Source organism: Homo sapiens, chromosome 5 (genome assembly GCF_000001405.40).
Source record: "Homo sapiens chromosome 5, GRCh38.p14 Primary Assembly".
Classification (NCBI taxonomy): Eukaryota; Metazoa; Chordata; class Mammalia; order Primates; family Hominidae; genus Homo; species Homo sapiens.
Window position 1 is genome coordinate 15,016,572 of NC_000005.10, and position 11,505 is coordinate 15,028,076.

Here is an 11,505-nt window from a genome sequence, read left to right on the forward strand (position 1 = left end):
GTGCAAAATGAAAACGCAGGACCCCTTGCTTTCAAAAAGCAAGAAAAATGAATGCCATTAAAGATACTAAAATATCATGCCTGTAATCCCAGCTACTTGGGGGGCTGAGGCAGGAGAATCACTTGAACCTGGGAGGCGGAGGTTGCAGTGAGCCGAGATCATGCCATTGCACTCCAGCCTAGGCAACAAGAGCAAAACTCCATTTCAAAAAAAAAAAAAGATACTAAAATATAACCTTTCATAAAATATATATATGTATATATATATATATATACATATATATATATAAAACCTTTCATTTTCTTAATTTGTGGTCTCTTTGTCCACAATTCATGGTGTTTTTTATTTTGTATTTAATGGCATGCTCCCTTGGGCATGGGGATACTGGCCAGGCAAGGCTAGACCTTCACAGGCACCCAGGTGTCCATTTCTGTGACTTGCAAATTCCCTGTCTAACCATTTGCCAGCTTCTGGACCAGATGCCATGCCCCAGCACTGGTAGGAGGAGCAGGTAAGTCAATCTCCTTTTTTTCCACAGCCCTTGGCCCCAGTCCACCATGAATGGGTACATTAGTCTGTTCTCATGATGCTAATAAAGACATATCCAAGACTGGGTAATTTATAAAGGAAAGAGGTTTAATGGATTCACAGTCTCGCTTGCCTGGGGAAGCCTCACAATCACGGTGGAAGGCAAAGGAGAAGCAAAGGCACATCTTACATGGCAGCAGGCAAGAGAGTGTGTGCAGGGGAACTCCCATTTATAAAACCATCAGATCTTGTGAGACTTATCCACTACCACAAGAACAGTATGGGGAAACCACCCCCATGACTGAATTATCTCCACCTGGCCCTGCCCTTGACATGTGGGGATTATTACAATTTAAGGTGAGATTTGGGTGGGGACACAGCCAAATCCTATCAATGGGCAACTTCTAAGGGCTAATAACCTCAATGCCAGGTGCCTCATACCTTGATGAGGGTAAGTGGGAGAGACAGAGAGAGAGAGAGAAAGAGAGTAAGAGAGATTGCCTAAGGTGTTGTCATGCTGCCACCCAGGGTGAAGACAGCTGCAGCCATGGTCCTCTGAGATGCTGCAGGGTACTCTCCCACATCTGGGCCCACGCTCCCACTGTGGGGAGAGAGCAGCAGCAATCACTGGTTGGGACCTGGGAGGTGGGGGTCTGGTGGGGGTCCACTGGGGGGCAGGAAGCCGGGATCAGCAGGAGTGGCCTACTGAGATCCGGCCAGGGCAGGCCGGGAGGTGGGACTGCAGGGGAGTTGAGGCTCCAAGCCCTCAAGCTTGCTCCATTGACCCATTGGACTTACAAAGTGCAAATGCAGAGATAAAGTTTTTAAGAATTTTAAGATGGTGACCACAGAGCATAAAACCCCAAGTGTAGGAGTCCTCTGTGATGGTACCAGTTCTTTACCCCTAAAGCTGGCCCAGGGCCTGGGTTTGTGTTTTTCCAAATTTTCTTCCTTTCATCTAGGCCTTCCTGTTCTACACCTACAAAGGACTCTTTACACTCAGTCGTTGCCAGAGGACAAAGACCCAGGTCTGCCAGGGCAGCTGGTTCTGCTCATGCTTGAGCTGTTTCTAGATCTCTTCCTCTGTTGGACTCAGACTTTGCTGAGGGAATTCATGTCATTTTCATGAAAACCATGACTTTGACCTTACCATGTGCTGGTTGTCCCTCAGAAGCTACAGAAGAAAGACCCAGCCATCCTCTCATAAGAAAACATTATTAAGATAGAATTGTTGCCTGGGGTCTTGATCAAGTGAGCTGAGAAGAAATTACCAGCAGAGTTTAAAATATGCCCCTTTGCCTTCAAATGCTCAGAATCTAGTTCATTCCGTGAGGCAAGAGGGAAATGACATTTTCACACTTATTTTCTTTTTCTGTTTTTTTTTTTTTTTTTTTTTTTGAGATGGAGTCTCACTCTGTCACCACGCTGGAGTGCAGTGGCGTGATATCAGCTCACTGCAACCTCTACCTACTGAGTTCAACTGGTTCTCTTGCCTCAGCCTCCCAAGTAGCTGGGACTACAGGCGCGTACCACTACGCCCGGATAATTTTTTTTGTATTTTTAGTAGAGATAGGGTTTCACTGTGTTAGCCAGGATGGTCTTGATCTCCTGACCTCGTGGTCTGCCCGCCTCGGCCTCCCGAAGTGCTGGGATCACAGTGCTGGGATCGTGAGGCACCGCGCCCGGCCTCACACTTCTTTTTTATGGGCATTTCACTTTGTCTGCTCATAAGGGCTTTGCGCATGTTCTCTAGACTATATTGCTGAGTCATTTAGTTTCTATTTTCTATTTCCTACAGGTTTTCAAAAATGTCATGTGGTGTTTTCCTTGCCTCTCCTGTAACCTTGTTTGACTTGGTTTTGGGAAAGACATTTTTATCAGTGTTTAGTTTAACATCTTACTCATCATGCTTGAGTCTGGACTTTAGGAATGAAGGTCGTATCGGAAAATAATTTCTCCGTTTGGTGCCAGCATTTTCATCCCTTGACAACCCTGAGTTCCAGACAAATAATGTGGTGACCTAGTGACTTTTCTCTTTTTGCTTATTTTTAAATTTTTAATTAATTAATTTTTTTGTAGAGAAGGGGTCTCACCATGTTGCCAAGGCGGGTCTTGAACTCCTGGGCTTAAGTGATCCTCCTGCCTTGGCCTCCCAAAGTGTTGGGATTACAGGTGTGACCCACCATGCCTGGCACCCAGTGACTTTTTTATTTTCGAGGTCAGTGACTTGCCTTTAATGTCTTACTCTATCTAACTTTTGAGATTCCAAGTGTGTTGAATATTTGAGGCTCTGTTGTGAGTTCCCAAACTCTGAAGAAAACAGTAATAACAATAAAAGCATAAAAGCAGCTTTCCCCCCATTTTCTGAAAGACAGTGTGATAATCTGAGCATTTTTTTCATCAGTGGAATAATTGTACCTGTAAATTGAGTTGAAGATCTAACGTCAATTCAAAGTTCTCTATTGAAGTTGAAGATCTAATGTCAGTTCAATCTCTATCAACTATCTGCCTGGCTTCAGGATGACCCAAGTGGCTAATATTTTTGCTCAGAAGGAGTCCCCCCTCCCCACCCAGATCCGAAGGCTTTGCCTAGTTTTCTACTATTCAGTTCACTGCTGATTGCATGCATACTTTATAAGTCTGCAGCGTTTCTAATGTACCAATAAACTCCCTCACAAAAACCAGACCCTTCAAATGGGCTATAAATTAGGACAGTTTCAACCTGCTTTTTTCCTGAGGTCTTAATCTTCCACTGAAGACCCATTTTCCTTAAATAGATTTTATAAGATTTTTATGGAAAAATTATATTTAGATTTTACCACTCTCCTGCATATAATCACATATTTTAACGGAAGAGTCATGCATTTATTCAACTTAGAGGATTGCAGGCAGTAATTTGTACCTTGAGTTTTTATCTACTCAATGTTACGTATTTCTTTTGGTAAAGATTTGCTTTGAGGAACTTTTGTTGGCTTTGTCAAAGAATAAACCTTGAATTCTCGTTTCACATGTATGTTCTTTATTTTGAAAATAGAGCCATTCGGGAAACCCATGCCATGGCTCACAGTGGTTGGACAACATTGAGAGCAGTAGTGAGGTTGCGTAAGTGCAGTGATGAGAACCCTGGGGGCAACAGTTGGAAGAACTGAGATATAGTTTGAATTATGCCATTGAGGCCTTTTATTTAATAGCTTCCCTTTTTGTAAAACAGAAAAATTAACATCAATCCCAGCTTCCCAGCATCTGACTGTGTATGGAAAGGACAGGTAAAACAAAAGGTAGACATGGTTTGAGTTTTATGAAAAAAAGGCGGTCAGGCGGGGTGGCTCACGCCAGTAATTCTAGCACTTTGTGAGGCCGAGGCGGGTGGATCACTTGAGGTCAGAGTTTGAGATCAGCCTGGCCAACATGGTGAAACCCCGTTTCTGCTAAAAATACAACAATTAGTCAGGTGTGGTAGCATGCACCTGTAATCCCAGCTACTTGGGAGGCTGAGGAGGGAGAATCGCTTGAACCCAGGAGGCAGAGGTTGCAGTGAGCTGAGATCGCCCCATTGCACTCCAGCCTGGGTGACAGAGTGAGACTCCATCTCAAAAAAAAAAGAGTAATCTTCAGATGAATTTAATGAAACGAGCTCGGTAGCTTTCTTAAAAAAGGATCTCCTTAAAAAAATATCCAAATGCATGTATTGTTTGCTGCATTTTCTAGATTACTAGGCACAGAACATTTTCATGGGAAAAGCAAAGGTGAAGGAGAAGCAGAGAGAGGAGGGTCTGTAGTGGAGTGAGGCGCTCAGACTTCCTCTGTCATAAATCATCCCTTTGTCCCTCCTTCCCATACCCACAAGGCAAATTCCTATCCTTCCCTGAGGAGAGCTGGGTTCCTCAGGTTTGAAGTAAGATCTAACAATAGAAACAGAATGTAAAGGAACCTGGGGACCCCCGCCAACCCAGGGCTGGGTGCACTCTTGAGCAATGAAAAAACTGCAGATCATGTAGGTGAAAGTGATTTCAGGGGAGCAGGCAGAGGCTCTTTGGCAGCTGTTCTTACAATTGGATTGCAGTTTTACTTTGGGACTTTGGGGACACACATATTTTCAACACAATCCATTCCACTGGAATCGAATGAATGCATTATTGATATGATGTCACCGGCTCCTTATGAAATTAGGTCAGCTCTTGACATTCAGGTGCACGGTTAACATGTCCATAGGTCAGCCCTGATTTCTTTATTGAGCAGTTTCAGATGCCATCTAAGACTCTCAGGATGTCAGCACTTCTGGCCACTGCTGCGAAAGCAAAGAAAATGGCTCCCAGCTCAGTAATGTCTGGGGACCAGGCTGCCATTGGCGGCATTCTGAAATGAATAGTGTGAGCTGGGCTTTATCTACCACAAACAATCTCTGGTATGTGGAAAGAAATGTAAGCAGCCCTTCCAAGAGACTTCTTTCAGAGGAATGGAATTAAGATTCATATCCAAGAAAAGTGAGAGGCTCCTGGAACAGCAGATTTTCCCACACCTTTTCTTTGTTTCAGTTTAAAACAACCCTTGCCACAGTGAGGATGGGTTGCACTTTCTTGCTGGCAGGACGCAGGCGGTTGTTCTACAGTAGAATTAATTTTCTTTTAGAAGCCACAAGAGTCAAAGCAGAATGTGTGTCTGCTTTAGAAAGACATTAGCTTCCGTGTCTCTTGTTATCTGTGTTCTATTGTCTCTGTTTTGCCTCCCAGGGGACATGTTTGGTTGTCACCACTGGGCAGGGCGGTATTGCTGGCATTTAGTGGGTAGAGGTCAGGGATACTGCTAAATGCCCTACAATGTACAGAATATTGCTCCACTCCCTCCAAATATGCAGCCCCAATGTCAGTGGGGCTGCTGTTGAGAAACCCTGCTCTATTAGGGCGCTTTTTCTTCCATTCACTATGCACCTTCTCTGATAGCAGACTTAGTGACTACATAAGGAAATGAGAGATGCCAGCTGTGTTTTGCCATCAGGAATGAGCTTAATATTTATTATCAGTTTGCCTAAAGTTAATGTTATGCAATACTATTTGCTTAATAGCTCTTCTTTTCTTCTTAGTTTTTAAAAACTTATAATCAGAAATAATGAAGATTTAATTTTAATTTTCTTTTATGAACCTAATGATCATTACATACATATGGACCAAATTCTCAATAAAATATTATCTAACAGTTTATCCAGTATTCTAGAGGGGGTTGAAGGTAATTCTGTTGTGTTGCTCATTATTGCAAATACTGGAACTAAGAATAATTTGGTGGCTAAGGCCATTGTTGGTTGTATACAGATGCCTTGCTGGTGCAGAGCAGTGCTGGGCTGCAGTTGGGGTGGTGAGGGGAGTGAGGGCAAGGCATAGCACCAGTTGAAAATGTTATTTCCAGTCTTATGTGAGTTAAAAACATTGGGATGAATATTGCATTTTACTCCCCAATGTAAAGATAACATTTCCACTGCTCATCATTGAAAAAAATAATTGATGCTCAAGGAAGGTGAGCCCTGTTTATGTTGGGGCTTTGAGCAGCTAATGTGCACTCCTGGGCGTAAAATCATCTCAGTTTGAGAAGCACTATTATAAGGGGAAGAAGCAGTAGAAAAAAAGACAGAAAGACAGGCCGGGCATGGTGGCTCATGCCTGTCATCCCAGCACTTTGGGAGGGTCAAAGAGGGCGGATCACTTGAGGTCAGGAGTTCAAGACGAGCCTGGCCAACAAGGTGAAACCCCGTTCCCACTAAAAATACAAAAAGTAGCTGGGTATGGTAGCACACGCCTGTAATCCCAGCTACTTGGGAGGTTGAGGCAGGAGAATCGCTTGAACCCAGGAGGCAGAGGTTACCATGAGATGAGATCGCGCCATTGCACTCCAGCCTGGGTGACAGAGTGAGACTCTGTCTCAAAAAAAAAAAAAAAAGAAAAGAGAAGACAGAAAGACAAATTACTGTGAATCTGAAGCAGGTGACTGGCTTCTGCAGAGCATGTCTTTTTATCCACCTGATTATTAAGGATCTCCTCTGTAGTGAATGCCCTTTGGTAGGCATTTACAGGAGACACAATATCTCACAGTCTGAGAGGTTCATATACATACCTTTCCCCAGATGTCCTTGTCACCTGTCTTCTAAACATGGAAGTCCCTGACCATCCAGCCAAACAATTAGTAACTGCCCATGAATTAGTGTTGATCTATACCTCTGGCTATCTGTCACTTACTTCCATCATAGTGGACGTGTACTGCTGAATGTGGAGTGGACCTCCTCTGCCCAGTGGAGAATATTTTTTCACCTTGTCTTTCTGTGTCATCCCTCAGTGGGGTGGCAGTGCTGCAGCTTTCCACTTTCTAGTGGTACCAGCATATCATGCTGAAGTTTTTCTTCCTTAGTCAGTTGGTCATAAGGAACACCCTGGGAGGTCATTGGTGTGGATTGAGGGACAGGAGGCAATTTTAACTGGAGTTGGTGTTGAAGGAGCCTGAGACTCCTGCTCACATTGCTTATTTGTACCTTCTGGATTTGCCTGAGCTTGGTCTCTTTTATATCTGTGTCCATCAGGATCCATCCAGAGAAGAACCAGTAGGAGTTTAACATATATGAGATTTGTTACAGGGAATTGGCTTATGAGATGTAGGAGCTGGTTGAGCAGCCTCTGTAAGGCTGATGCATTTGCAAGTCCACTGAGCAGGAGTGTCAGGAAGGGGAGATCATGAGTAGATTGCAACCTTGTGAGCATGAGCTGGAACCCTATGAGGATGAATGAAAACCTCTGGTCTTGATGACCCTTTATCATGGAGGTTATAAACACATATTCCTGGCCCCAAACTCAGAAAAGCTAAGGAAGGATGTAGGATAAGGTAGAGTATTTGCAGGTCCAGATGCCGCTTTATGCTAACAAGGTGAGTCAATGGATGAGCAACAACTGTACATGCACTGCAAATAGCTACATCTTCTTTTCAGCCTTCCAAGAATCCCAAGAATCTCGCTTTGGCTCACCATAACCAGAAACATACGAGAGAGGGATCTCAGGGAAATGTGGTTCAGTCTAACCCAGGTGACATGTTACGAAGCCATCGTGATACCATTCCCATATGTTGGTAGATTGCTTCTTAGCACAGTCTTGTGACTGGGAGGGTCAGACAACACCTGGCTTATGGTGGGAAACTCAGGATGCTGGGTCACCTGACACCCAAGGTGTGGTCTTCAGTCTTTCCTCAGGCCCAGTAGGAAGCCAGAAGCTGTTTTTCAAAAGGAGAGCAGTTACATCTCCAGATTTATCACATATCTCCATATGTAATATATTGGATCATGGGCTTTTTAATTAATTAATTTATTTATTTTACTTTAAGTTCTGGGATACATGTGCTGAATGTGCAGGTTTGTTACATAGGTATACATGCGCCATGGTGGTTTGCTGCACCTATCAACCTGTCATCTAGGTTTTAAGCCCTGCATGCATTAGATATTTGTCCTAATGCTCTCCCTCCCCTCACCCCCCACCCCACAACAGGCCCTGGTGTGTGATATTCCCCTCCCTGTGTCCATGTGTTCTCATTGTTCACCTCCCACTTATGAGTGAGAACATGCGGTGTTTGGTTTTCTGTTCCTGTGCTAGTTTGCTGAGGATGATGGTTTCCAGCTTCATTTATGTCCATGCAAAGGACATGAATTCATTCTTTTTTATGGCTGCATAGTATTCCGTGGTGTATATGTGCCACATTTTCTTTATCCAGCCTATCATTGATGGACATTTGGGTTGGCTCCAAGTCTTTGCTGTTGTGAACAGTGCTGCAATAAACATACGTGTGCATGTGTCTTTATAGTAGAATGATTTATAACATTTTGGGTATGGGCTTTTTATTTTTTTCAACTTACCTGTGGTTGTTGATGTACCAGGACCCAGTATATACGTGTTAGCTGCTAGAACTTTATAGCATGTTTTGATATTTATAGACTTTCATTTCATACTTTTTTTGCCCTTATGTATAGAGTTCCCAGGGAATTTTCCAACTCTGTCCTCCAATTTAGTAACTTATTCTTCAGTGGTGCCTATTTTGATATTTGGCTTATTTGAGGATTTTTGAAAGTTATGCTCCTTTATTCCAAGGTCTCTAATTGGCTATTTGTCAGATAACTCATTTTTATTTTGTAGATGAGATAGCTTCTCCTATAACACTGAGGTTATTACCATATTTCCTTTAAAATCCCCTTTTGTTTGCTGCATTAGCTTAATTTCATTGTGCATCAGTTTTTCCATTTGTTGTCTTTTGTGTCTAAGTGTTAGTTTTCCTGAAATGTTTTCTATTTCTTGCCCATGTACTCATTTTCAAACTGAGTCTCAGTTTGCACTTGTGTGATTGTGTTCCTGTTGACTGCAACCTGATTCTACTGACTTTGGAGAAAGGGATAGGATGTGCTTTCAGGTGGAGCATATGAGTGCTTTGTTTTTGAGTTTCCTGTTTCTCCTATTTGTCAGAAGTTACTATTGGCACAAACCAGTCTTTCCAACCCAAGCATTCAAACTAACTGCTAGAGTCTAGGGAAAAATCCTTCCTTCTGATTTGAGATAGGGAGTGAGGGAATGGTGAGGGCAGAATGGAACCCACTGGCTGCTCTAAATCCTCTAAATGTGTTTCCATAGCCCTGATGACTTTCCTAGTTCCATAGAACTGGACATCCAGGCTGAGAGTACAAAACCCAACTTTGCTCCTATTTTTCATAGTTCCCTTCACCTGGGGCGAGTTTTGGGCTGCTGTTTACTCTACCAAACCAACCTCATTTGCCTTCAATTTCTGGAGAATTAGCCAGATTTCTGGCCCACTGATAATTCTTTTATAATGCTGGTGAACAACTATTGTCCTGTACACACACACACACCTACACTCTTTCCCATCTTCCTGTATTTCTGGGCACTTGGGACAGAAGAAGAGGTCTATGTTCTCAGTCTGCCACCTTGATCTAATTTGATTCGACGTTTTTCAAGTGATTCAGATTGCTGTCTGTTATTCTATAATGACTCAAACCACAAGTTATCCTGGGCTTGTTCATGTCGGATGAAATATTCACAGTCTTGCAGCTTAAAGACATTAGAGATAAAGCTACCGGAACATAATGACTTATAGTAATGAGGTTTCATTTGAGGGTAATATGAACAACTGGGGACTCTTGTCTTTGCTCTCTGAATTTCAGAATACTTTCACATTGGGAAAACAGGAGGCAGTGGCTGGTTCCTTGGCTTTTGTTCGCAGACTCTGCAGTACTCTGTCGGCTTGATGGATGTATTTTCTCATTGCTGGTGATAATTCTGTAGGGGGTGATTCACCAGCAAATGGAGGCCAAATTAGTGCATTTTTCTCCCTCTACATACTCATGCTCATTGGCTTTGCTATTTACTCCTAATGTCCATTTCCTCTACTCAATAAATCACCTTTGATGAGAAAAAAAGTACAAAATATTAGTCATGTGAGGATTTGGATCATGTTTAATTTAACGCCAATGAAAAAGTTTTCTCCTTAATCCAGTAGCTCTCTGGAGCCACAGTCTGTGCTTGCCAATGGTTTTGTGTATGCACTGACTGAAACCCAGACAGCTTGCTCCCAAACCAGCCCAGAGCTCAGAGGATTTGTGCTACATTCCTACGCCGGCCTGAGACTCTGAGCCTGGGGGTTAAACTGTAAATCAGGAATGACTGAAAGCAATACTTTGCTAAATTCAATCATCTTCCTCTTTCAATTGACTTTTCTATTGTTCTATTTTTCTATTCTTTGATTATTGACCAGGACATTGTGGGTTCAATGTTACACTCATACCTAAGATTATGGGGCACAGGGGAGCTATGAGAATGCCCAGCTGCCCCATCACTTCTACAGAGAAGAGCTGGAGAGACTCCTCTCTGGGTTTAAATTAGATTCTTGCATATCAAGGACCAAGGGGCAGACTATGAGCTGCCACTTGCTCATCTCCGTCAGGTCTTGTTTACACACACAGTTAGCCAGAGAACAACAATTACACTGGTACACTGCTGTGTGTGTTTACTCTTAAACTTCAGTTACATAGTGAGGCGTGAAGCTGTGAACTGAGGGTGTATTCATATGTATGTTGACGAGGCTCACCTGCAGGGCTAAGCACCTGGAGCCTGTGGCAGCAGACTCTGAGTTAGAGTCACAGGTTGGATTCTCCAGAAGCAGCGGTTAACATGGAGTTCGAGGTGCAAGATTTTATCAGAAATCTGCAGCCGTGAATGGAAGGGTGAGATCTGAGCAGAGGAAGCTGTGAAATGATGCTGTAGGCCCAAGAAATCTGGCTAGAGTTGTCTTCCCTGGGCCAAAATGGTGGCATCTTCTTGCTCCTGCCTTGCTCAGTAGCTGGGTGTGGTTTGCGACCCAGGGTCAGGTGGCTCTGGTAGCTGAGGTGGAGGCAGAGAAAGCTTGCAGCTGGGGGCTGTCTGCTGATGGGGCTCCCTCAAATGAGGGCAAGTCCCTCCTCCGAGGGCGATCTGGTGAGTGTGTTCCTGCCTCAGGTAGAGCAGCTGATGAGAACATTTATCCTGGGAAGAAAGAAGGTAGCTTTTTTTGAGTAAGGGGTCCTAAGGGTAGGACAATTGTGAGCTCATGATACCTAAATTATTTCTCAGCTCAGCTTTCTTATCTGATCAGATTCTAAGGAAGAAAGAGGTTATAGTAGGAAGCAAGTCACATGCAGGAGCTGTATTGCTGTAAGCCTCATTAAAAAATGAAGATAAAAGGCACTTCTGATTTTGGCTTAAGAGCAGAATTCAGTACAGGAGGGAGAGACTGAATATACAGACTATGGCCAGAGCAGAGATGAAAATAGAACTATGACCTACAATGTGCCACAACCAGCCCAGGATACCAACCCATTATCCACAACTTAGGAAGTCAGTCTGCTATGTCAGACTTGTAGGAAGTCAGATTCCTATCTCCAGAAACAACTCAGGAAGCCAAACAACTTCT